The following is a 27,735-nucleotide window of genomic DNA, read 5'->3' on the forward strand; positions in this document are numbered from 1 at the left end:
TGTCCCTAGTTTCTTTAGAAGAAGACATTTTACGAGTAGTAGCATTCCGTGTCTGGGAGCTATGGATTAAAAGAGAATAAACTGTCGACTGTAATTTCTCGGGATGAAAAAATGAGGTCACTTTTTGCCTGACTGAAATGGACTGCCTGTTCTCATTGCCTCAGTTGAAAAACAAGTCTGACCTAATGGGTGGCTTGTGGCAGACACCACTATTGAACGGCAGCCATTAATTCAAAAACCGAAATAGCACTGAGAGGTGTCGAAGCGACTGGCACTTAGTGGTCTTTCTCAAATGATGCACTTTCCCAAACCACAGAGGACGAGAATTACTTGAAAGACATTAAGAGTTTTGACTATTTTGGGCTTTATTACTTTTTTTAAAAAATTGAGGTAAAATTCACATAACATAAAATGAACCATTTAAAAAATTTTTAATTCCTGTGAGTACATAGTAGGTGTATATATTCATGGGGCACATGAGATGTTTGGATACAGGCATGCAATGTGGAATCACATCATGGGATATTAAGTATCCAACCCCTCAAGCGTTTATCGTTTGTGTTACAAACAATCCAATTATACTCTTAGTTATTTAAAAATGTACCATTATTATTGACTATTAGCTATCCTGTTGTGCTATCAAATAATAGGTCTTATTATTTCTTTCTAAATTTTTTTTGTACCCATTAACCATCCCCGTCTCCCCCCAGGTTTGCCCATTACCCTTCCCAGCCTCTGGTAGCCATACGTCTGCTCTCTGTCCATGAATTCAATTGTTTTGATTTTTAGATCTCACAAATAAGTGAGAACATGCGATGTTTGTTTTTCTGTGCCTGGCTTATTTCCAAATTAACCATTTTAAAGTGAATCATTTGGTGGTGTTTAGTACATTCACAATTCATTACCTCTGTCTAGTTCTAAAACATTTTCATCATCCCACAGATCAACCCTGTACCCATTAAACAGTTACTCCCTATTCCCCCTGACTTTATTGCTTATTTTTATAAGAAAGACTCATTACCATGCTTGTGTGTGTTCTTTGTTTTTAAAAGCTATTTGTTTGGTACTTTTTCATAAAGTGTTTTGTTTGTTTAAAGGGTGAGTGATTTTATTAAATATGGAAATTTAGGGAGATTTGACTTTTGTGATTTTAGAAGGAGGGTCAAACTGTAGAGAAAGATGACTTCTTCACTTCTTGAAAGTACTGATTGAGGAGGATTTATTGTGAGACATAACTGAGTGAGATTAACTTTGGGAGATGTACTCAGTAAGAACAGCCCAGGACGGCTCATAGATGGGACAGACTTCTTCAAGGCATTGAACTCTTTCAAGTTCCAGGAAATGAAAAGTTCCTCCAGAAAAATGTTGCAGCCCACATATCCTATTTTCCTGACACTCTTCTTCTTCCTTCATTCTCCCCTCCCAGGCCTTAGCACCATCTAAAGGTGAGAGAGTCAGATGGTGTTAAAATTGCCAGCAAAGGCCAACCTTAATGTGGGCGGGAGGTTGGGGCAGAGGTGGCTGCTGAGTCCAGCTGGGATGCTGGCGTGCGGAGAGAATCATCTTTCTGGCCTCTCTGGGAGTGATCCAGTTTGTTTCAAATAAATACTAAAGGAAATAGTTTGTTTACCTAATCACTTTCTATATCTATCACATATTGGTAGTAATAGTGGTCATTGATCGATCATCAGAACATTTTTGAGGCAGGTTTGAGAGAATATTAGTGGTCATTAACTTCTTTTTTCCCAAATTCAAGCAACAAAAAAAGTAAAAACTTATTTCAAATAATATCAAAATGTGTATTACAAGGTCTAGTACATATAACTAATTTTCCATAGTTTGTGCTATGTGTAAGACTAGTCTGTGCAAATCAAAGTGTAAAAGCAATATATATTTCAGAAAGTTACCTTTTAAAGGACTTAGCCATTTGGGGGCATCAATAATCATCATTTGCTAATTTTTATATTTGAATGCATAATGCATCTAAGTATTTTCATGTATTATGGTTGCTTAAAGCATGTTATTGCTGATAATAGCCTTCATTTAGATTCATGGAGAAATAGTTATAATAAGAATGTAGATCAGCTTTAAAACTAAATAAATTGCTAGTGCAGAATCATATTTACTGCTCTAGTCTGCTACTGAGAGGAGGTAAACAAATGGAAAAATGAATGGATGAAATATTTTATTTTTAATTTCATTTTTTAAAAAAATTTTTTGAGACAGAGTCTTGCTCTGTCACTCAGGCTGGAGTGCCATGGCGTAATCTTGGCTCACTGCAACCTCTGCCTCCCAGGTTCAAGTGATTCTCAAGTCTCAGCCTCCCGAATAGCTGGGATTATAAGTGTGCACCACCACACCTGGCACATTTTTTGTGTGTGTTTTTAGTAGAGATGGGGTTTCACCATGTTGGCCAGGCTGGTCTCGAACGCCTGTCCTCAAGTGATCTGCCCGCCTCAGCCTCCCAAAGTGCAGGAATTGCAGGCATGAGCTACCACGCCTGGCTGGATGAAGTAATTTGTTTCACTAGCATAATTTTGATTTATATGGAATAGTAATTATAATCAGAAATATCAAAGCCTTTCTTTTAAAAGTATTTTTCCCACCTGAAATATGAAAGCAACACATGCTCATGACAGAATTTGGAAATTTTTGTGTCTATTTAATGCATAGTTGTGTTCTTATCACATGTGAAATTTGTGTCCTACATTTTTCATCCACCATGATGATGTAAACATTTCCTAACACCTGAAATTTGCTCTCGGTAGGCATCACCCTACTTACTTACAAAGTCATGGTAAGTGTTATCTACTGATGGTCAAAAGATGTTTAAAATGTGTATCTTTATTCAGAAAGTGTTTTTTGGTTGTTTTTGTTTGTTTGTTTGTTTTGTTTTGTTTTTTGAGACGGAGTCTCGCTCTGTCACCCAGGCTGGAGTGCAGTGGCGTGATCTCAGCTCACCGCAACCTCTGCCTCCCGGGTTCAAGAAATTCTCTGCCTCAGCCTCCCGAGTAGCTATGATTACAGGCATCCCCCACCATGCCCAGCTAATTTTTGTATTTTTAGTAGAGATGGGGTTTCACCATCTTGGCCAGGCTGGTCTTGAACTGCTGGCCTTGTGAACCACCTGCCTTGGTCTCCCAAAGTGCTGGGATTACAGGCATGAGCCACCGCACCTGGCCTCAGAAAGTTTTTAGAACATTTGGTTGGTACAGGCCAGAGCACATATGGTCTGTGTAATTAGCCAACTCCTTAGAGCTGCTTGGGGTTTCTGGACTGGCTGAGTTACTGCTTCATATCTTTTAGCTCTTTAGCCTTATTAATGGTTGAATTACATATTAACTTTTCTCATACAGAAAATGTTCATTCTCCCTGAACATGAAGAGCTAGGATAATGATTTTCTTAAAATGAGCAGATAGCAGATGTTGATCTTAAAGTGTTCAAGGATTGAGGCCTTGTTTAAGAGAAAATCAAGCTTCTGGCTGTTTTTCATGACTCTAATTCTAGACATTTATATTTTTATGAAAAAATGTATACCACCTTTTAGAATTTCTACAAGGAAGAAGTTTTATTAATACTCTATTTTGATATACAAATGTCTTGCTTTGGTTGTAGAAGAATGCAAGATGTGTGTGGAGAATCTTTATATATGTAATTCTTTGAAGTTCATCATGGGAAAAAAATCTAGCCGTCTATTCATGTGTTAATTTTTCAGTAGTGTTTTATTATATGGCTTATGTGCTGATTTAAGTGTATAAAACCACATTGCTTATTAGAATATGATAGAATTTTGAATCTATATAATCATATTCTAATTCATGAAAAATCACATGGAGTCAAACTTTTTTTTTTCTTCTAGCCAGATGAATTATACTTTGAGGAAGGTGATATTATCTACATTACTGACATGGTAAGTCCAGATAACATCTTGTAATACCACATATAAAGACTGTTTTATGTAGCTATAACATTGTAAGTTATTTAAATATATATGTACATAGAAATACATATGTACAAGTCTGTTCATTTTAGCACAATTGATAGTAGCATAAGATTGAAAATAGCCCTTATTTCCATCAATAGGGAAAGAGTTGAATAAGCTTTGGTCTAGCCACAAACAGAATATTATGCAGCTGTAGAAAGAAATGGGGAATATCTCTATATGCTATTATGAAGTAATTTAAGTGAAAAAAAAAGCAAAGTGAGAAAATGTAGATAATATATCCTCAGTTTTCTAGGAAAGGGTGAGAGTGTATGTGTACACACACATACATGCAGACACTTGTTTTTCTCAATTTCAGATAAAAAGTTGAAAGATGAGTTGCAAAGTAAAATTTAGTTTTATTCTATGAAGAGTAAAGATCCTTTCTCTAGGTGGAAGGAGAGAAATAGGGTATAATGAACATAGATGGAAGATAGACTTTTTAGAAAATTATACCTTGTTTTGTGGATTTGACTTTGAACTGATGTAAACCTTGACATGGTTAAAAATTGAAGTAAAAAGCAATCCCTAAAAATTAAAAGCAGAATGAATCAAATGAACTTAATTGTACCCTGGTAATTGGCCTAACCACACAGAGAGGAAATATTCCAAGTTTAAAACTCAGCAATTTGACTGAACATCCATAGTAGAATATGGATATGTATGAAAGACATATATATATATATATATATATATATATATATATATATATATATTTTGTCCATATATATATATATTTTGTCCATATATATATATATTTTGTCCATATATATATATATTTTGTCCATATATATATATATATATTTTGTCCATATATATATATATATATTTTGTCCATATATATATATATATATTTTGTCCATATATATATATATATATATATTTTGTCCATATATATATATATATATATATATATTTTGTCCATATATATATATGGACAAAAAGAAATGGCCAAAAAAGGGTAAATTGTTTTAAATCATGCCCTTGTTAGGGAAATGTAGGTATTGCTAATTCTGAGATTGTTGCATGTGTATTGTGGTTTAGAGCAAATGAGTAATTAGGTCGGTGATGTTGCTAACGGATTTTCAGCATAGCAAAAAGGATACACAGATGTAAGATTAATGACAGTTTAAGAAAAACTCTGTATTCCTTCATCTGAATTGCAAGGATCACATTGTATTTTATCTAAAATAAAACAAAAATATTCCCTGCTGTGTTCTTTGAAAGGGCCTAGGAAAAATGACCAACCCAATAATAATATGTTATTTTCCATTGAAATGTACAGGCTTCTTTGAGAAATGGCTGGTACCAAGTCAGGGGCAGCAGAGGTACAAGATAAACCCAGAACATCCTCTTATTAGAAAACATGGAAGCTCCTAAAGACAGTAGGGTCACACTGAAAGGACTTGGGAACGAACTTGAAGAGACTCCCACTGGCCAAAGATAGGACAATTTGAGCATCAATTAGGGCAACAACTTCCAAGAATTGAAACCCATTAAATACATTTAAATTTATGAGTTTCTAATGTTACTTCTGAGGAAATCTCATTGGTCAGCATGAGAGAATGCTAGGAAATCAGGTTTTTATTCTGACAACTGTTAAGGGAAAGAATCACCATTTATTCTGTGTTTTCTTTATGAATTTCTTACCTGGGCAATCTGAGAGCTGATGAGGAAGTTTTTGTTTAAAGAGGTATTCAGGTTATTTCAATGAAGAAGGAATGATAGAATTAGAATGTCACCATCTTGCAGCCTCTAGGAAATAGTGGATCTAGACAATGATCATCAAGGGCTACTAACATTACAAAAAGAAGCCGACTAGATAGTTTGCATTTCCTAATGGAAGAAATCAATACTGCCTAGGAAATAGCCTTGCCAAAAAAAATTGGAGCTGAATCTAATTAAACCTCTAGAACTGATGACCAATTTATAGGCAATACAGGGAACAGAGGAACATGCTTAATGATAACACAGGGATACAACAGGCAAAATCCATAGAGGTTGACACTACAGAACAAACCAACTGGATTCTTCAACAAATACATTGTAAGAGATAAAAAAGAATGGAGAGACAACCTATAGATTAAAAGATACTTAAAGACAAATCAATCATATTGTATAGCCCTTATTTGAGTCCCAAATTATGGGGCAGTTGGGAAATTTGAGTATCGACCTAGATATTTGATGATATTAAGGAATTATTGTTGGAAAAAACTTTTAAGCTGTGATAATGGCATTATAATTGCCTTTCAAAAAGTATGTGTCTTTCAGAGATACGTACTGAAATATTTACAAATGAAATAATATGATGTCTAGAATTTATTTTAAAATAATCCAGGAGGGGAGGGACGTCATGGGGGCATATATGAAACAATATTGGTCATTAATAAATGATTTGTGCAGTTGGGAAATGGGTATATATATGGTCATTACATTGTTCTTTCTACTTTTTTGTAAGTTTAAATTTTTCTATAATAACAAGTTACCCCCAAAATGAAGATAATATAAAGAGATCTTTAGAACTTCCTCCCCCATAAAAAAAATTATCTCAAAGCTAAGAGAAATGAAACTGTGGACAAAAAATCATATAGCTAGTCTAAACTAGCGTAATTTGTTTTCTTCTGTTTCATGTCATCTCTTATTTGTTTGGTTGTTGAGACTCTGTCATGAAACGTATTCCATTTGTTGCAGGCAGATGCGTGTTTATTTGTAACTGAGTGGTAAGGGAGACGGACACCCACAGCTAGGGCGTGAGGAAGCTTGATAGTGTGGGTAGGGTTGATGGACATTTTGTAGAACAGGTACTCCCTAGGAGCTAGATAATTTGAAAAGTGAATGAATGCAGTCTGGATTTCATACCACTTAATTTAACTCTTCTTTTACCAGAGCGATACCAATTGGTGGAAAGGCACCTCCAAAGGCAGGACTGGACTAATTCCAAGCAACTATGGTAAGTGTTGCTGAGTGGTTTTACTTTAGCTTCGTTCACTTGGAATTTTTTGGTTCTTGATGCTTTTCTGCTTGCTACTGTGGCTGAGAAAGCAATGGAGTCATTGTCAGTCTAGGACATTTTCTATTCCATGAGCCTTCTGTTAATAAACTGGCCATGAACACCAGATGTGCTTGAGCCTGACTCTGTGGCCTAAGAGAATGCATTTTAGCATTCTTAACCCAAGGTTTCCAAGGAAACACTTATGGTTTTACTTTCTTCAACCCTTAAAACAATTTTTTTTAATGCTGATAAACTCAATCTTGCAGATAGTTTCTTAGACTAGCCGTTTCTTTTGTGATGGAGTAACCCGGCCTTGTTCATTCATGTTTGGGGCAGTGATGTTCATTAAATGCTTATCATGGCAGTTTGGAGACTTTGAGAGATGAGAGACACGGCTCCCGCCATGAAGCTGCTTCAAGCTGGAAGTGGGACAAACAGATAAAACACTTGTTTAGTTGTCAGCAGAATCAAGTCAAAAGAGCACAGAATTGATAAACAAGGCTCCTGAGTTTTAATCCTCTTTCTTCCATTTCCTAATAACACTTCCTACTGATTCTAGGACAGCAGCGAACATGCCTTCTTTAAGAGGCAGGTAGCTATGCTGATTGTTCTTTCTGAATACAGGAAGCAAAATACTCCCCTCATCCGATCCTACATAAATACACACAAGAGAACCAAAATTATTTTCAGGTATCTTTAAAGCAGAGTGATCTACAAAATGTAAAAATGAACATCAAATGCTTCCTTTTGCATTTTTGTGACTTTGTTTATTAAATACTTGAGTAATATCAAGTGTGCATTTAACTCAGGTATGCGGGTTTGTTTGTTTTTGTTTATACTTCCAGTTAATTACTATGTTATTGCCTTATTGCTTGGCTTGGTTTCCCTAAACACATAATTCAGCTTCATTTAATGCAAGAACTATCCATTTGATTTTCTGTTACTTTTTATCCACATTAAGTAAAGGAAACTGTGTTGAATGCCCTGGTACTCCTGAAGCTGGGGGACTGTGGTGAATGAGTGGCTTCAGTAAATCATTTGTGTGGCAATTCCACATTGGGTTAACACTTTTTATTTTCAATCTAGTGGCTGAGCAGGCAGAATCCATTGACAATCCATTGCATGAAGCAGCAAAAAGAGGTAGGTGTGATTCTTTTTGACTGAGGTATGCAGTACAGTAAAAGGCACGGATTTCAATTAGCTTTGACAAGTGCATACACCCACGTAACCAACACCCAGATCAAGATCTAGAACATTTCTGCCATCCTAGAAAGTTCCCTTTGCACCTTCTCAGTTAAATCCCTGCCTTACAGTCTGTCCCAACATCTACTACCCTAGAGAAGTGTGATTTTAGTTTTAAAATGTCAGTCAAGAAACACTGTTGTGGGGAGATGCAAGTCGAAAGACATGGTCTGTGACTTCCAAAGCACAACATCTGGCAGGGGAGAGAGAGATGTAACAGATCATTAAAATATGGTATGATAAGTACAGCAATTGAAATGTGTTTGACAGGCCGTAGAGGCCCAGGTGAGTAACTGGAGGGCAAGAGAATGGAAGGGTCTGGTGGGTACAGCATTTAGGAGAGCGTTGGTGTGGTGAGCATTTGGCCAGGGAGGGCATGACTAACAGGGATGAACCTGGGGAAGATCCTTGACCAAACAACGATCAGCCTTGTCTTGGGCTTTATTCTGTAGATCAGTAGTCCTCAGCTAGGGGTGATTCCTCTTTCACAAACCCCGAGGGTATTTGGCAATATCTGGAGACATGTTGACTGTCATGACTGGAGGGATGTTACTGGCATCTTTTGGGGAGAGGCAGGCGTTGTTGCCACACATCCTACAGCACACAGGAGCACCCCCACAATAAATCCAACCCCAAATGCCAATGGGGCTGCTGCTGAGAAACCCTGCTGTAGATAATGGGGAGTTTTTGTAAAGCCTCAATGAGCTCCATTTCATTCCATTTTTAGATTTTTTTGGAAATCTGAATGTACACAAGGAAATTATTGGTTAGGATTGTGAAAAAGTAAAAGGACTAAACTGACATTTAAAAAATTCTTTGTGAATTAGATACTTGGGACATTAGCCTGAGGATTTTAAATTAATAGTTATAGTTTAGCATATAAGAGCAGCAGCTTTGAGTAGGTTATTTAGCCTTTCTTATAGGAACTGAAGATGCATTTTAAATATGAATATGAATAGTATCTGCTTGTTCTTAGGTTTGATTGTTTTTTCCTCAATTTCCAGAATTTCACAAAGAAAAAAATAATATATACACATACACACACATACACACACACACACACACACACACACACACACACACACACCCCTATATATTTTTTAACAGAATAGAAATACCTTAAGTATACCCATTTGGGCAACTATTCCCATTAACTTATCATTAGAAACATTGATGTTAATACTTTCCATTAATAAGCTGGAAGTCAAAATGTACCATAATAAATGCATTAATGGGGAGGTCTTAATTTAATACTTGCTGATTAATCCATTGCAAATGGAAATTTATGCAGAATGACATTGATTTAAAAGCAAAATAAAAAGTGAAAGCTTTTTTTCTTGTGTTCTTGTAAATGTAAAATTCTTTCAGGCAACTTGAGCTGGTTGAGAGAGTGTTTGGACAACAGAGTGGGTGTTAATGGCTTAGACAAAGCTGGAAGCACTGCCTTATACTGGGCTTGCCACGGGGGCCACAAAGGTATTACATTTTGTTTGTTATATGTTTCTATGCTGCTGAAAATGTGTTTCACCTACGGGAGCCAGATTTACAAAAAATGAGAAAGGAAAAGCATTGGCTATTCTTTTTGAATCCTTTAGAATACCGGCCAAAACCCTTGTTCCTGGAAGCTCTGTAGAACAGTGGGTAGAATGTGGTCAGTCAGCCTCACTGCATGGGTCCCTCTCGCTTGAAAGACTGGACACTTCCTTTCCTCTCTCAGGCTTAGAAAGGTTACTGGAAAACAGCAGTAATATAAAAACAAAACCACTGTCTAATCTTACAGAAGGAAAGATCAGAATTTGCTCCTCTAGCTTAGCTTTTCACAAGGTCTTCTTTTATGATTTGCATTTTAAGTTTAATGCAAACTATTAGATTCAAGAGAAAGCCAACATTTGCCAAAGTTAGTGATTCCATTGATACTTTTTCTGTTGTAATCAATAATAATGACAAATTGAATTTTTAGATGTATTTCTTCCTGGACAAAAATTTATCACCCACCGCTTTTCTACCTCTCTCTATAACAAAAGAAATAAACTCAACAACAATAAGAAATGAAGATCTCAACAAATTAAATAGCAGTGCCAAAGGAAAATTTGTAACTGTCTACTAAAAAGAAGCCTATCTTATTTCAGCTAATAAACATGTTAGTTATATGAATGAAAAGTATTATAGTGAATGTAAAAATATTCCTCTAAGTGTCATATGAAAATGCAAAAGCCAAAACTATTAGAAAAAGTATATTTTCCTAAATAATTCCACTTTTTAGATTCTTAAGTTTTTCTATTTTATAAATTTTACAAAATGTGTTAACATTTTCTTGAAGGTTCTTCTGAAGAATCTCTCTTTTATAAAATTATTGTACCTAGATTTGTCAGGCTTCTAATTTTCGTTCTTAAAAGGTATCTTTTCTCTTTGAATTTCAGATATAGTGGAAATGCTATTTACTCAACCAAATATTGAACTGAACCAGCAGGTAAGACTGCTTATTTGAAAATTATTTAACACATACCTGCTTGTTGTCTTTAGTACAGAGCAACTCATGGGCATGTGAAGTATTGTAGTCAAAATCCCACAAGCACATAATTTAAAAATTATAATTGTACTAAAATTCAAATTATCCACAGCCCCAAGTGCCAAACCCACTCCTCCTCATATGTCACTTTCAGCTTTTAGCTCTTTCTTCCTGTACTTACCTTTGTGTTACTAAGGAATAGGCTGACGGAGCTATCTCGCCATGCATTGTCTTCATGTGTACTTTGGCCTCCTGTTGGGTATGTGAAGGGTTAAGCTTGTCAGCTGCCCCAGCTCTCATCTTTCAGCACCCCAGCACCAAGCCTGTTCTCCTCTGCTCCTCAGTGTACTTCATCACAGTTTTTGGTTATATTACTATATAATATTTACTTTATTATGGGTGTCTAAATAGTGTTCACTGCTTATATAACCTTTTTTTGTTTCTGTACTTACTTTTTAAAACTCATTTTTTGTTATCTCACTGTGACTTCTCTACTGTTTTATACAGTCTTGATATATAATACTTTTCCAAAATGTGTAAGATAATCAACAGCTTTCTTTTTTCTCCCTGGATTCATTACTTCCTGAAGCTCTCCATCATTCTCCAGTCTGAGCAGCTTGGTCCCTGTGGCCCTTTGCTGTCCTCCAGGGAACCCCTTCCGTTCTCTGCCATGTTGCATCTTCATTTTTCTGGATCCCTTGTCTTTCTTTTGTCAGAGAACATCTTCAAGTAGATTCCTGAGAAAGAGAAGCTTGGGATTGATTATATGGCTGATCAGAATTCTAGGTCAAAAACAGTTTCCCTTAGAATTTTGAAGGCATGGCTCTGTGGCATTCTTGTTTCCAGGGTTGCTTTTGAGAGATTTGGTGCCATTTTGATTCCCATTCTTTTATGTATGATCTGCTTTTTCTCTTGCTAAGAGTATTTACTTTATTGTTGGTGTTTTCAAATTTTATGATGATGTGCTAGCATTCATCTCTTCCCAATGATTATGATGAACTCTTTCAGCCTGGAAAATTATCTTGTATTTCTTTTAGAATTTTTATCTGACCCTTCTTTGTTCTTTTGGTTCTGGAATGCCCATTAGTAGGATGTTGGACTTCTTGGATTGAACCTTCAGTTTTCTTAATTTTTCCCAGAGATATTCTCACCTTTGTTTTATTTTGGTTATCTTTTTAATTCCCCAGAGTTCTGTATTAGTTTTCTATTGCTGCCTAGCAAACGACCACAGGCTTAGCAGCTTATACTTTCTGTACGTCAGAATTCTGGGCATGGCATAGCTGCGTTCTCTGCTCAGGGTCTCCCAGGTGGAAATCAAGGGATTGGCTGGAGCTGGATTCTCATCTGGAGCTTGGGGTCTTCTTCCAAGTGCATTTAGGTTGTAGGAAGAATTGATTTTCTTCTAACTGTAGTATTACTGAGGCCCTCAGCTTTTAGAGGCCACCCCTCTCTGTAGACAGCTCACAGTATGGCTGTTTGCTTTCTTCCTCAAGGCCAGAAGGAGATTGTCTCTCTGCTGTTTCATTGTTTTTATTTTTTAGGGGCCCACCTGGTTAGGTCAGGCCCACCTGGGATAATGTCCCTTTTGAAGAATTCAACATCCGCTGACTAGAAACCTAATTATGGGAGTGATAGCCTGTTACATTCACTGCTTTCACTTGCAGTCAAGAGGAGGGGGCCTGTACCAGGGCCAGGAACCTTGGGGGCCATTCTTAGAATTCTGTTATAAGCCCTTATTTTACTCTGATTGTTACTTTTACGTAGTATCTTTTTCTTGTTTCATGACACAATATGATCTTATATCTTGCTGATATAATATTTATAACTTTTCAAACTATGTTTTTTGGCTCTTCACTGTACTGTGTTTTTTCCCTTTGAGATCCATTTATTTTGTTTGTTTTGGTCTTTACTAAAATATTGTAGGCTTTCCACGAACACTTGGTGTCATTATCCATTCATTATTATTTTTTTAATTTGAGATGGAGTCTCGCTCTGTTGTCCAGGCTGGGGCGTAGTGGCGCAATCTCAGCTCACTGCAACCTCTGCCTCCCGGGTTCAAGCTATTCTCCTGCCTCAGCCTCCCAAGTAGCTGGGACTACAGGCCCATGCCACTGGCCTGGCTTATTTTTGTGTTTTTAGTAGAGACGGGGTTTCACCACGTTAGCCAGGCTGGTCTCGAACTCCTGACTTCAGGTGATCCGCTCTCCTCGGTCTCCCAAAGTGCTGAGATTACAGGTGTGAGCCACCATGCCTGGCCCTTATCCATTCATTTTTAGGTGTGATTGGAAGCTGTGTGTGCTTGGTGAGGCCTGCTGGCGGTTGGGCTTCTCCATAGGGTGATGTGGTGAGGTCCTGGCTATTTTGCTAGGTGACACCCAAATGCTAATGAAAGTGACACTCCTTCCCTTCCCTGCACATGGGGCTGCACTGCTTCACCAGAGAAGTGCCCTCCAGTCTCCTGCCTGGGGGTATGTGCACACTGGGCAGTGGGGTACGTAAAGGTACCTGAGAGAGGGGTCTTACTGTTCAGTCTGTAGGTTTTTTACCTAACCCTCAGGTTTGAGTTTCTGGCCTTTTGCTACTTCTCTTGTACCTAGTGTTCATGAACTTGGAAACTATCAGGTTAATTTCTCAACAAGTAAATCTGTCATCATTATTGGGTCATCTGGCAGCAAGAGAAGGGGAAGAGGTTCTGAGATTCTACTTTTTATGAGTACTTTAAACCAATATCTCTGTTTTCCCACCCATGCCTCATGCCTGCCCTAGCACCTCCAGGAATCTCCAATTCCTAATTTTTGCCAGGCTTCTGCATGTTCAAATCTGCTTCCTTCCTCCTGGATCTCCCTCCGCAGGCATGTGCTTTTCAGCTCGTGCTCCACCAAGTCAGCTTGTACTCCTCCATCCTATTCCATCTCCCAAAAATGACTCCTCTCCCATCTCTTGAGTCTCCTTTCCTTTTCTCTTTGGAATTTTATGTGGTTCTATAACTTTGTTCCCATTTTAGGTTTAACTTTTAGGTTTAACTGGGTTAAACCTGAATTAACATGTACTTTCAATCCACCCTCTATCTTAAAAATGGTACTTTCTCTTTTTATCACTATAGAACAAGTTGGGAGATACAGCTTTGCATGCTGCTGCCTGGAAGGGTTATGCAGATATCGTCCAGTTGCTTCTGGCAAAAGGTAAAGTTTGTGCTGAGTTTATCTGGTCTTTGCTTGCCCTGAAAAATAGTCTATATCAACTTACGCCATTTGAAATGGTAGGAAGAATAATAGTCTTATTTCAAAATAGGGTTTAACCTTTGCTCTGCCTGTGTATCATGGAATAGTTATGATAAAATAAAATTATTGGGGGTTGGTTTGTGTTAGTTTTTAATATAAACTAAAACCATGGCAAGCTTTAACATTACATATATTACTTTTAGTAAGAACTGTATTGTATGTTTCTGCAGGATTATAGAGCCTTAGAAACAAAGAATGTATGTGTACACGTGTGTTGGGGAGATCCTGTCTGAGAAAGCTGTATAGGTAAAGTTGCTGAGGCCCCTGTTCTCACAGGGAAGTCTTGACAGATAAGCAAGAATGATGCGGCTGCAATGTCCTGCTTTGAGCTGAGCAGGTGCTAGATGTAAAGTGAACGAGAGAGGATATCTTGATCCCCTGTTTTTATAAGTCAGAGGAAACAGTGAATTTATAAACTGACTATCCCTTTATCCTTTTGTCCCACAAATATTAGTTTACTCTTAGAGAAGGCCAGGCAGATCACCTATACCATACTCTAGTCCAGAAGCCTATCATGTAGGATGCTTGAGTCCCCAAGACACTTGTCATGGAATTACCCTCATTAGGGATCCTCAGAGCAATATTGTGGGATATATGATAGGAAATGGTTTAGATTTTAAGTATGCTGGTGATGTAAGCTGCAGGTCTAAAAGGCCAGACATTATGAGGATCACTCTAGTGCCCTGTAAAGGGTATACTGATGACTTTGATGCCTAATATGGCAGCCACTAGCCACGTGCACAACTGAGCCCTTTAAATGGGGCTATCTGAATTGAGATGTGCTGTAAGTGTAAAATGCATACCAGATTTCAAAGACTTAGTGAAACAAAAAGTAAAACATCACAGTAATTTTCATGTTGGTTATGTGTTGAAATGATAATATTTCAGATATGCTGGGTTAAATAAAATATATAATTAAAAATAATTTCACATTTTGCAAATGTGGCTGTTAGAAAATTAAAAATTATATATGTGGATCACATTATATTCCTATTAGTGCTCATCTAAAGGGACCCAGGAAATAGTTGTGTTTCTTCTTTATCATCACTGTCTCTGAATATTTCCTGTTCTGATAGAAATCATGTCTATGAGCTCTAAAGTATAATATAGTATATGATTAGTCACAGAACTGTTAACCCTCAGGAGTTTTTGATCTGTAGCACACTGAGAGAATGAGGTTTTATATAACCCTACTGTGAATAGAATGATCTGCTTAGGAGAAAGATTTTGACACAAGATCATTATATTACTAATTAAACATACTATTTTTTTTCTTGATGCAATATTTCTTTGCCTTTAAATTTGGGGACACTTCTTTCTTTCTTTCTTTCTTTCTTTCTTTTTTTTTTGAAACTGGGTCTCTATTGCCCAGGCTGGAATGCAGTGGCATGATCTCGGCTCATTGCAACCTCCGCCTCCAGGGCTCAAGTGATTCTCCCACCTCAGCCTCCTGAATAGCTGAAATTACAAACGTGCACCACCACACATGGCTAATTTTTGTAGAGATGGAGTTTCGCCATGTTACCCAGTCTGGTCTTAAACTCCTGAACACAAGCGATCCGCCTGCCTCAGCCTCCCAAAGTGCTGGGATTACAGGCGGATGAGCTACTGTGCTGGCCTATTTTTGTTTATTGAAGGGGAAGTGGTTGCAAAAAAAATATGATACTTTCCTACACTGTGGCAGAAAGTATGAACTGACAAAGCCTTCTTTTTTTGTTTTTTTGGTTTTCTTTGAGACTGTCTGGCTCTATTGCCCAGGTTGGAGTGCAGTGGCGCAATCTTGGCTCATTGCAGTCTCCGCCTCCTGGATTCAAGTGATTCTCATGCCTCAGTCTCCCAAGTAGCTGGGATTACAGGCATGCGCCACCACACTTGGCTAATTTTTGTATTTTTAGTAGAGATGGGCCATGTTGGTCAGGCTGGTCTTGAACTCCTGACCTCAAATGATCTGCCCGCCTTGGCCTCCTAAAGTGCCAGGATTACAGGCGTGAGCCACCGTGCTTGGCCTAAAGCCTTCTTGGAAAGCAATCTTAAAATCAGAGATGAAAAAGGAGGTATTACAACTGATACCACAGAAATTCAGAGGATCATTAGAGACTAGTATGAAAAGCAATCTGACAGTAGCTGTCAGAATTTAAAATGGACTTAGCCTGACTTTCCAATACCATTTTTAGTAAACCATTCTTCAGAAATACGTGTGAACAAAGATGTTGTTCAAGGATGTTCACTGGAGTATTTGTGATAATGAAAATTAGGAGTAGCCTAAGTGCCCGTCAATACAGGAGTAATTAAATTTTGGAGCACCACAAAATGGAATACTTAAATGGTTGAGTTACAAATATGTGTATTTGCTAAGAAAACAGTACCATTAGACATTAAAGTTTTAAAAACATGAAATCACAGACCAATACGTGTAGTACGATTTTGTGTCTATATCAATATGTGTATGAATGCACTGATGCAAATAAGGGAGATAAGAACTCACACCCACTTGTTAAGAATGGTTACCTTAGGCGTAGGTAGAAGATGAAGGAATGAAATGGGACTTGTGCTTTTGTTCAGCATACATTTGTATTTTTGAATCCTTAACAATGCAAATGTATTCATGAATTCTGATGTAATTTTGAACACAATAAAGGCAAAGGAAAAGTGGGTAGAAGATGGCTTATGGGAATAATGAATTGCCTCTTGGTTTTACGTGTTGCTATTCTGTTAATTTGCATGAGAGCAGACTTACAGATATAAAATATTAATCCCCTCAAGCACTATCCACTTGGTCTTTTCTAAAGACCCTCTTGAGCAAAAGAGGAAGCAAAGGGCTCATTGAAGTCAAGCCCCACAGGGACCATAAACTCCTCACTGAAAAGTTCACATGCAATTCTATAGGGACTCAAAAGGTTCGGAATTAATTGTTATCACAGGTGCAGCAACAAGCTTCCCGATTAAAGATGCCAAATTATACTGCATGAGAAAGTTTATTGTTTTGAGAACGTTTACTTCTGAGCCAGAGTTGTTCACTAGTTTATTTTGCCAAAAGTTGTTAGCTGTGGGGAGAGAGGATTGGCTACTACTATATAGTCTTCAAAGACACCTAATTGACTTTTCTTGTGTTGGGAAGGTGCTAGAACAGACTTAAGAAACATTGAGAAGAAGCTGGCCTTCGACATGGCTACCAATGCTGCCTGTGCATCTCTCCTGAAAAAGAAACAGGGAACAGGTATTTGTTTTAAATTCTTCTTTCTCCTCTGGTGCCCCATAACTAAGATTTATTAACTTAGAATGGCGCAAAAGAGATAAACTCAGCTGAGTGCAGTGGCTTATACCTGTAATCCCAGCACTTTGGGAGGCCAAGGCAGGAGGTTCACTTGAGCCCAGGAGTTGGAGACCAGCCTGAGCAATAAAGTGAGACCTCTGTCTCTACAAAAAGTACCAAAAATTAGTCAGACATTGTGGTGTGGGCCTGTAGTCCCAGCTACTCAGGAGGCTGAGCTGGGGGATCACTTGAGCCCTGGGAGGTTGAGGCTGCAGTGAGCTGTGATCGCACCACTGCATTCCAGCCTGGGTGAGAGCAAGACCATATCTCAAAAAAAGAAAACCAAAAAAAAAAAAAAAAAAAAAAAAAAAGATAAACTCTTCAGATGATTCTGAAGTTTGTTTCAATATCCTTGATCTTAATGAGAACCCCCAAAATAGGACACCCTCAATTAAACAGAAATTAGACAAGAAACATAATCTTTTACCTTTATTGTGTGTTTCTTTTATTCCTTGCAATTAAGTTCTAATCACCCTGCTTTCCATTACAGTCCTTTTCAGAGAACGATCATCTTCATTCCCTCATTTAAATATGTATTTATGAGTGATTACCACTAAATATTTTTAAAAATAACATTTAATAGCTCCATGATTATATTTTATTTCTGTTTTAAATGAGGATATCAGTAAACTGTAATCAAATTTATTCTAGACTTTGCTAAATCTTCTGGACTTTATTCATAGTATTATGGGTGGTTTTTTAAAATAGAGTTTAAATGTACATTATTATTATTTTTTTAGATGGAGTCTTACTCTGTTGCTCAGCCTGGAGTGCAGGTGTGCAATCATAGCTCACTGCAGCCTCAAACTCCTAGGCTCACGTGATCCTCCCATCTCAGCTTCCTGAGAAAATGGGACTACAGGCATGTGTCATCATGCCCAGCTAATTTTTTTTTTAATGTAGAGATAGGGGTCTTGCCATGTTGTCCAGGTTGGTCTCGAACTCATGGACTCAAGCCATCCTCCTGCCTCAGCCTCCCAAAGCACTGGGATTACAGGCGAGAGCCGCTGTGCCCAGCCTCCTTTTGTTCTTTATTCTAGATATGTCTTTGTTCCAGATTTCTTTTCTTTTTTTAACTTCAGTTTGAATATAGTGTAACTGCTAATCAGTTGGTATTCCTTAATTAATCCATGAGAGCTCACTGGGAGTGCAAGCCTTTCTTTAAAGTAATTCCTCATGGATAGATGGAGATGGGTTCTACTAAGGGAATGGGAAAGTATCAGCTGAGCTGGTGCTCCCCAGCTACATTATGATTGAGAAGCCATATTTGCAATAGTGTGAGAGACATACTTCTGCTTGAGTTCGACCTCCTACTCCTTGCTGCCTTGATTGGGTCAGGAAGTAGGAGTCTGGCCTAACTTCCTTTCTCTGCCACTGACTTCCTGTTGTGTGGCTACCCTTAGCCTGTCCTGACCGAAGAGTAAGGCTTCTTATGACCTGAAGGTATCAGAGTCTAATGCATGCTATGAGCTCCATTTTGATAGACAAGGCATATACCAAACTTTCTTAGACCTCAGAGAGCTTACCCAGAAGCCTTACTCAGGAGTGGTTTGAGTTGAGGGAGGCAGGTAATGAGCCTTTCTGCAGCCTTCGTAGAACAGGGCTGGGAGGCAGGTACTCTTTTCTCTGTGCACCCCAAGTGTGTTTAGTCTACCTTCCTGAATTTGAACTGATTAGGTAATAGATTCATTAATGAGGTAATCTTAGGGCCTGGCAGACAGAGCCAAGAAATGAGTTTTTATATTTCAATTTTCATGTTACTTTTAAAATGTTTTTTCTTGCTTCATTTCCCCAATTATACAGTTAATTTGTATTGTGATCCTCATTGGAATAGGTTTGGACTATTTGGCCATAGAGTTAATTGTCAGCATGAACTCTAAGTTGGAAAAGGTATATTCTGATATTGTTGTCCACTTTTTTTTTTTTTTTGAGACAGAGTCTCACTCTGTTGCCCAGGCTGGAGTGAAGTGACACAATCTCAGTTCACTGCAACCTCCGCCTCCCGGGCTCAAGTGATTCTCCTGCCTCAGCCTCCTGAGTAGCTGGGATTACAGGCATGAGCCACGATGCCCGGCTAATTTTTGTATTTTTATCAGAGATGGGGTTTCACCTTTTTTGTCCAGGCTGGTCTCGAACTCCTGACCTCAAGCGATCTGCCTGCCTTGGCCTCCCAAGGTAGTTGTTGTCTACTTTTAGAAGCACAATGTGGATTTTTTAATAAGTACAAAAATTCACATTTTGCAGTTACTATGGAAGATAACTAGGATATAGGGCTGGGGGTTATACTCGAGTTGAGCCCTTTAACATTTTTTTCCAACTTTTAAAAATTTGTGTATAATTTACATTAAGTAAGTACATAAATCTTAAGCATACAGCTTGATTAATTTTTTTTACACCTGTTCACCACAACCCAGATGAAGCTAGAGAACAGTTCCCACACGCCACATGCCTCCCTCAGTGTCTTCTGCTTCTCTCACCATAGATTAGTTCTGCCCGTTCGTGAACTTTATGTAAATGGAATCAAACAGTATGTACTTTTTGTGACTGACCTCTTTCATTTACATTATGTCTGTGAGAGTCATCCATATGCCTGTGTTTATTTCTCCATCATTTATTTATTGTTTGTATGTTTGTTGGTTGGTTTTAAGTGCTGGTTCTTGATTTGAGATATGTAAAGCCAGGGTGATGGGACTGAGGTAAAATGAACGTGAGCTAGGGAAGGATGGCAGTGCTGCAGGAAGATACATTCCTATGCGTGCTATGCCCAGAGGTGGGCTGTGAAGAGATACAGGCTCATCACACAACACCTGACCATGTGGGAAAACTGCCTCAGAACAGTTCATGAAAGGAAAGAAGGAGAAGGAATTTATTTGCTGACTTGTGCCTGTCTTTTGATGACCACTCAGTCAGAGTCTGCACTGTGGCAAATCATCCTCTCTTTTTAATAGAAGTAAGAATAAAATAAAGAGCAGAAGTAACCATCCAAGGACACAGAATATGGGCAAAACTTAGGATAGTGGAGTAGAAGGGGACAGAGTTTTCCTATTTGTCTCTCAGGCTTTAGCTTAGAAAGCTACATTTTACCAAGTTGACATGAAGTCCTGAAGGTCCTGGGTGTGTGTTGGGGGAGAACAAAATATATTCCTCCCACTTCTTGTGAACTCCTCTTGAGGAGAGTGGAGAAGAATAGAGTCAACCTGGAGACTTCCAGTAGCTTGAAGGCTGGTGTGAAGTCAGTGAAACATGGCCAGGTGTGGCGGCTCACACCTGTAATCCCAGCACTTTGGGAGGCAGGGAGGATTGCTTGCATCTGGGAGTTCAAGACTAGCCTGGACAACATAGTGAGATGACGTCTTTACAAAAAAAATTAAAAACTAGCTGAGTGTGGTGCTGCATGCCTGTAGTCTTAGCTACTTGGGAGGCTGAGGTGGGAGGATCACTTGAGTCCAGAAAGTCAAGGCTGCAGTGAGCCATGATTGTACCACTGCACTGCAGCCTGGGTGACAGAATGAGATCCAGAAAAGAGACTTGGCCTCTGTTCTGCTTTATCTTTCCTTCTCTCTCTTGCAAGATAAATCGGCTTCCACCTCCCTTGTACTGATCATCCCTTCTTCTTTTCTTTTTCTCAATAATCATTTTCCAAAACATGTAAACATGAAAACTTTTTTTTTTAAAAGAGCATTAGCATACCTAAAAAATAATTCCTTAATATTCCTTAATATCATCAAATATCTTGTCCTTGTCCAAACTTCCATTTTCTCATACATCTTTGTTTTTACTTATTTATTTACTTATGGTTTATTTAAGTCAGGATTCACATAAGGTCAGTTTGTGATTGGTAGATATGTCTCTTTATTTATTTTTTAAGCAATAGTTCCTTTCCCTCTCTTCTTCCCCCTTTTTAACCTTGCAATTTATTTATTAAAGAAACTGGGTCAACTCACTTGAATTTCCCATTGTGGACATTGCTAACTGCATTCCCATGGTGTTATTTGTCATGTTCCTCTGTCCTTTATGTTTTTGTCAATTAGTGTTAGATTTAGAGGTTTGATCCAATTTAGGTTCATTCTATCAATCAATCAATCATGAATCAATCATGTATCTGCCTGCCTATCTATCTATCTATCTATCTACCTATCTATCTATCTAATCTATCTATCGGTTTGATCTAATTTAGGTTCTATCCATCTACTTACCTACCTACCTACTTACCTACCTACCTAGCTATGTATCAAATCTAGCTAGCTAGCCAGAGGTTTGATCCAATTTAGGTTCAATCTATCCATCTCTTCACCTACCTACCTATCTACCTACCTACCTAATCATGTATCTTTCTTGGTAGTAGAAGGAATAATAAATCATATAGAATATTGTGTTCTTTTATCAGGGGCACATGATACCTGGTTGTCACTCTTCCTGTGATGTGACATCCATTGATGATCGTTGCCTAGATCTGTTACTTCACTAAACGGCACAAAATGATGATATTCTAATTAAATCACTTCTTTTTGAGTTATTAGCTGGAACATTCTATTAGGAAAAGTTTTCCCTCATCAATTGTTTTGTTACGCAGAGGAACAGTTAATGTAGCAAGGGCAGGATAAATGCTTGATTTTTGACCTTTATTTAAGAGGTTTTAAAATAATAAGCTGGTCTCTGTCATCCTCCAAAGGGTGACAGATGAGTTCTTTTTGGTGTGCCTTGAAATATTTAATGTGCTTTAATCCATTCCAATTAGTAGCTTTATCAATAGCCCATCTTTGGCTAGTGGAGGCCTCTTTAAGTTGAATCTCAGACCCTTTCACGTGATGCTGTCTTTGTTAGGATGCTTGCTTTATGACATGACTAGGGTTCTAGGTCCATCCCTTACACTTCCTGCCCCATACTTGGAACCGGTCATATGTATAATAAGCTTCAGAGATGTGATACTTAGAGATCATGAAGATCTGGGTGCTGTGACATATATTTATTGAACTTCAACAATGTGCTTGTGTTTGCATTCTGTTTTTCCCACTAAAATTATACTTGGGCTAATCTGTTGCTATAGGAATTTGACTAGACAGTTGAAGGGGTGACTGTGAAAGATCAGATGTCTTCCTTTTGAGTCCTGTTCAAGTTTGCTTGAACATTTGATGGGGTCCAGCTCTATTTTAAAACTTTTCCCCCCCATTTCAGCCTTTTGCTTTATTGTCGGTGTTTTCTACATTGAAATGGAAGCTTCTTTGTTTTCATTCTTTCTTTTCCTTTTTCCCCTTCGGTAGTTAACGTCCTACCTAGTGACTTTGCCTTTAGGCAAGACCTCAGGCTGTCACTGGGAGAGGAGGTTGGAAGCTCAGTTGTCAGAGTGGAGTGCTGCTGGTGGTGTATCATGTTGGTCATGGTGCCTGTGGCTAGGCCTTTCTGTTGGAAATGGATGCATGGCACCTAGGACCAAAACTTCTGCATGACTGTGGAACGCATCATCAGCCTCTGTGGCAACAGAAACTTAATGGTTAGGCTGAAAAGCAAAAGCAGAGAAAGATCCTCAGGGAAAGTACAATCCCTGGGTCAGATGGAAGATTCTATTCTAATTTAAGAGCTTTGAAAATGAAAAAATAAAATCTGAGCAGTTTATAATTTCCCTATTTTGCTTTTTTCCCTCCTCTTTCTTTCAGATGCAGTTCGAACATTAAGCAATGCCGAGGACTATCTCGATGATGAAGACTCAGATTAATTCCTTTCTGGAGCTTTGAGATCTAAAACTTCTGTTGCTTTTGCCATTCCAAAACTTTGTCTTTGCCAGAAAAGTGTTGGTAACTATAAAGAAAATTATATATGAACACGGCAGTGTTGCACTGTGTTTGAGTAGAACGTGTAAATGAATTGTTCCCACCTTTGGTTTGCCAGTAAGTGACTGGATTCTTGGCACATTTATGTTCACCAAAGTAGAACAAGAAGATATTATTTCTATTTATCAAGCAAAAGGAATTTTAAGATTTTTTTTTTTCTTTAAAAACAAATTAGGATTTTTTTTTTTTTTTTTTTTTTAGTTAAAATGCTTTACCTCAATGGTTGAGATATTTTGAATGGATTTTTCAAGGGGGGGAAATGCTTATTATAATAATAAACCAAAATACTTAACAGAAAATTGTCAGCTATTCTGACAAAAATAAACATTTTGAGAGACTTTATTTCTTTTGTCCGTTTCTGTGGTATCACTCATTGTCGTTAAGTAAGTAAAGCTTTTTATATTTAGGTAAGAACTGATTTTATTTTTTAAATTATATTTTATATTTATTAGCACAGAAGAATAATGAGAGCCACATTTTAGTTCAACTTCTTGTGTTAGCTTTGATCAAAGTCAGGACAATAATCATTGAGAAGGTGCATGTCTAATAAAATAGGTAAATTTAATAATTGTGAGACTTCCAGTTTTTATCTCCAAGGTTGTATTTAGAGTGGAGAAACCCAACAACTCATTACAGTTTCGCTAAGATTTGAAAGGTTAAAAAAATTTATTTCCTTATGATAGATGCCATACTTTTCCATATGGAGTAGTCAGGAACCATGAAATTTTTTGCATTCAGTTTTTTTAATAACATTTGTTTTCTCACAGTATGGATCTAGTTCATAATGATTCAGATTCTTTTGCTGAAACACAATTAGCATTGCAGGGAGCCTTCTGTACTACTGACATGACACTTCATTTGGCGTTCTAATTTTGTATCACTACAGTGATGATGTAAAAATGACATGGCCATTGGAATTTGCCTAGAATCCCGGCCCTAGGTCCAAAAGTATATTTTGCAAGATGATTTCAATGCTAATTTCAAAAAACACGTTGATGAAGAGAAGGAAATGTATGAAGAAGGAAGTGGGTTAGCTCAGGAAATGAATAACTGCCTCTATAAGAGTTTATTCTGTGACTGTTTGGTTTTTCACTCTGTGGGAGCCTTGAGAAACGATACCCAGAGAAGCCCATTTGAGGTCTTTCAAACACCCTCAACTAAATTTTAGTAGAAGAGAATCTGTACCACTAGTGACAACAAAGTATGAACACAAATTCTGGCACCAACAAAAGAGGGCATTTTATTCTTAAAATAAATACGTTATTAAATTTGATTTAACCAGTTGTATTTCTTCTTAAACATAAACTTGAAGATATGAAATTCTTCCTGAAATTGTATCTATTCCTATAGATCCTTTAAGATTTTTCTTTAAAATGGGGCTTGTTTCTTAACAAAAAGCTTTTAGAGAACCCTGTAACTTTTTGTTCTTCTATACTTTGGGCTGGGGTAATTAGGATGGATTTCAACTAAAGACTCTTAATTTTTAAAACATGGGCAGAAATAATACAGCTTGTGTGGCTATAGACAATTTTTATCAAAATACCATGTACTTGCTTTAGATATATTATTTGTATATCTGAGGGAAAGAATAGTGGAGGTCTCACTATCATTGTTTTTAACATTATCAAACTTAAGAGAATTTTAGAAAGTTGGACAACTATAGTTTTTTTTTGAAGATGAGGAGAGTGCTTAGCTATGTGCATGAATTTTTGGTAAAACAGGACAACTCATTTAGTTGTGGCTGAAACTCCACTGGAAATTTTTTTGGTTTGTTTCTTGTTTATTCAGCCTGGCTAATCTGAGCTTTCTCAGAGATTGTTTAGTGCTGAACTCAGCAACAAAAATCAGTTCTAGGAATTTGCCACTGCTCTGACTGTGCAGAGGAGAGCTCTGATTATGTTTTGGAAATAACTTCAGAGGTTTTGCTGTAATCTGAGCTTGCTGACAGTCACTGTGGCCTGAACTCCTTTCTAGTGATTGCACCCTTTAAATAGGAAATGCCTTCCAGCTACTTGGGCAGTGCGATACTTGTTTAGTTGTAGGCCCAGGAGCCTCATGCAAAGAAAAATTCTTATCAGAGGTTCCCATTTCAGTTTTCTTTCTGGGCTGTTCTGTTGCACATTTTGTTGTTGTTGGGCTGACATGTATTACAGCATTTCTTTATAAGCCCCCATGGCTCCTCTTTTCAGTAGATTAATTATGTTATTACTCAAAGGGAAATGTTGAACAAAGCAATGGCGACTCCATTTTATTAATCTTAAAAAAAAAAAACTGGAAATAGGCCAGGCACGGTGGCTCACGCCTGTAATCCCAGCACTTTGGGAGGCCGAGGCGGGAGGATCACCTGAGGTCAGGAGTTTGAGACCAGCCTGGCCAACATGGTGAAACCCTGTCTCTACTAGGAAAAAAAAAAAAAAAAAAAAAAACTAGCTGGGCATGGTGGCGGGTGCCTGTAATCCCAACTACTTGGGAGGCTAAGGCAGGAGAATCGCTTGAACCCGGGAGGCGGAGGTTGCAGTGAACGAAGATTGCGCCATTGCACTCCAGCCTGGGCAATGGAGACAGACTCCATCTCAAAAAAAAAAAAAAAAAAAAAAAAAGGAAATAATGCTGAAAACGAAATTTTAGGTAATTTGCAGATAATTTTAAAGATGGAAATGTAATTTTTCCACATAAGCCTTCTTCATAAATGTTTTTTATTGTGTAGAGTTTCTGATTTACTAATTTTCTTATTGTGAGCACTATATTTATCATCTTTGTAAATGATGATTTCTTTTCTGATAGGCTGTGGAACCTAACATTTACATCTGATTATCTGCCTTCCCTATTGACTCAGACTGTGTATTTTTTGTCTTGATTTTTATATTGTAAATATGTATATTGCAGGAAAAGATTGTATAGCCAAACTTTGAAGTGTCCAATTACTAAAAGTTGAGGTTTTAGTGGGAGAAATATTGTAAAAGATTCTGGTATTCCTGTTTGCAAATATAGCTTTGGTGAACAGTTTTCTCATGTGAAGGAAAAATTGCAGACCACAAATTTGTGGCTTCTGTTTCCTTATTTCTCAATAACAAGCTTTTACATCTGCCCCTCCCTTAAAATGACATGAAATTAAATAAAACTACCATTTATGAAATGTCTACTCTTCCAGTGCCTGTGCGAGACATTTTCACAGACATGATGTCATTTGATCTTTGCAGTAACCTTAGGCGAGGAATGTTAATGCCCCAACTTTTTACAGAGACGCTGAGGTTTGAAGAAGTGAAGGAACTGGTTGAAGGTGGACACACGGGTCTGGGGAACCCACGCGCTATTGCCTGCTGCAACAGTCAGATGTCATCATTCACATTCTCTCAGAAAAATCTGCAGAAACAGGACAGCTTCTTTCCAACGGAAGCCCTTGATATAGGCATCTAACAAATTCAGCATATCTGCTAATCAATTCATAATTTATTTAAAATGACCCTAAGCGCTTCCAGAGAAATTTTCACCAAACTTTTAGTTCCCAGTAACCCTAAAGAAATATTTAATGAAGCAGGTTTTACTCCCAAGTTTCCAAAATTTCCTACTCTGTACACATTAGAGTATGAGTAAGTATAAGAGAAGGAAAGCTTAGATCAGCACCTATTCATTTTGCTTTGAGTTTACATTGCTAAGTTCAGCAGTTCTCTCAGAGAGTCTGAGAGCTCCTCACTTCTGTGTAACCATGAAAATAAATGCATCCCTTGGAAGGGTCAGGGGATGTGGTCTTACCTGAGTCTGGGAGCTCGATGTGTACATGGAGGTAAGTAACTTCACAATTCCCAGGCAGTGCTGCTGTGTCTGTCGCCAGTGGCCAGCGGCTTGGGTTTCCCAGCAGGCTCAGCCCTGTGGGCAACTGGGAGCCACAGGGAGGCCAGGTTCCTCGCGGTGCCCGGAAAAGAACACTGAGGAAATCCAAAGGTATACATTAGACAGCCTGACAGGAAGCAGGAAGGAAAGTGGAAGGAATAGACAAGGAGTGAAGAGGCTGAGCCTCAAAGGAAAAATGGTTACCTTTTCTAAATGACCCATAGTTCTGACAGAAATTAGTAGAATGCTTCGAGAAGTGGTGAGGGGTATGGGCTTTGGAATCACACTGTCTGGATTCAAGCCTGATTCTGCTGAGTGACCTGCGACAGGTTACCTAAACACCCAGATTCCCTAGCTGTGCAGTGGAGGAAGTGGTAGTATCTACTGCCTAGAGTTAGAAGGATTAAATAAAATCATATATGCAAATGACTTAGTTCCTGAAAAACTCTACTACTGAGCAGTTGCTCAGTTAATGTTGGGTATAACCATGAACAGGGAAGTCTGCATTAAAACCAGATATGTGTGTTATACAAAGGAGTGTGTCAACACGTTTTTCAGTTTCACCACCAATATTGAAGAGCAGAATTTCCTAAAATACTTTAAAAATGAGTGGAGGACAATGATGTTGCCTTCCAGTCATTTAGGTTTCTTCATATGTGGTAGTAGAGTTTTTCTTTTTCTTCTTCTTTTTTTTTTTTTTTTTTTGAGATGGAGTCTTATTCTGTTGCTAGGCTGGACTGCAGTGATGCGATCTCA

General features: G+C 37.9%; 1 protein-coding gene across 6 annotated transcripts in view, besides 1 other annotated feature; it reads left to right on the top strand.

The window, feature by feature from the left end:
* Nucleotides 1-23,557, top strand: part of OSTF1 (osteoclast stimulating factor 1) — a 58,752-nt gene extending 35,195 nt beyond the window's left edge. For 3 of the 6 annotated variants that reach the window (XM_006717053.4, NM_012383.5, XM_006717055.4), the window contains 8 exons: nt 3,861-3,911; nt 6,870-6,933; nt 8,062-8,115; nt 9,586-9,693; nt 10,638-10,687; nt 13,830-13,908; nt 17,126-17,224; nt 22,975-23,557. In XM_006717053.4, coding sequence (XP_006717116.1) covers nt 3,861-3,911; nt 6,870-6,933; nt 8,062-8,115; nt 9,586-9,693; nt 10,638-10,687; nt 13,830-13,908; nt 17,126-17,224; nt 22,975-23,033 — 564 coding nt within the window. In that variant the 3' untranslated portion in view covers nt 23,034-23,557. Of the gene's footprint in view, nt 1-2,768; nt 2,798-3,860; nt 3,912-6,869; nt 6,934-8,061; nt 8,116-9,585; nt 9,694-10,637; nt 10,688-13,829; nt 13,909-17,125; nt 17,225-22,974 lie in introns of all 6 variants that reach the window. The other 3 variants (XM_011518525.4, XM_017014622.3, XM_011518524.3) reach the window with 2 other exon arrangements.
* Nucleotides 13,045-13,544: an enhancer, noted in NCBI's record as "H3K27ac hESC enhancer chr9:77751669-77752168 (GRCh37/hg19 assembly coordinates)". NCBI's record gives its function as "activates a minimal SCP1, AML or CMV promoter by ChIP-STARR-seq in primed H9 embryonic stem cells {active_cell/tissue: H9 hESC(primed)}" and the evidence as "EXISTENCE:reporter gene assay evidence [ECO:0000049][PMID:30033119]".
* Nucleotides 23,558-27,735: the final 4,178 nt, after the last annotated feature.

Source organism: Homo sapiens, chromosome 9 (assembly GCF_000001405.40).
Source record: "Homo sapiens chromosome 9, GRCh38.p14 Primary Assembly".
NCBI classification, from domain to species: domain Eukaryota; kingdom Metazoa; phylum Chordata; class Mammalia; order Primates; family Hominidae; genus Homo; species Homo sapiens.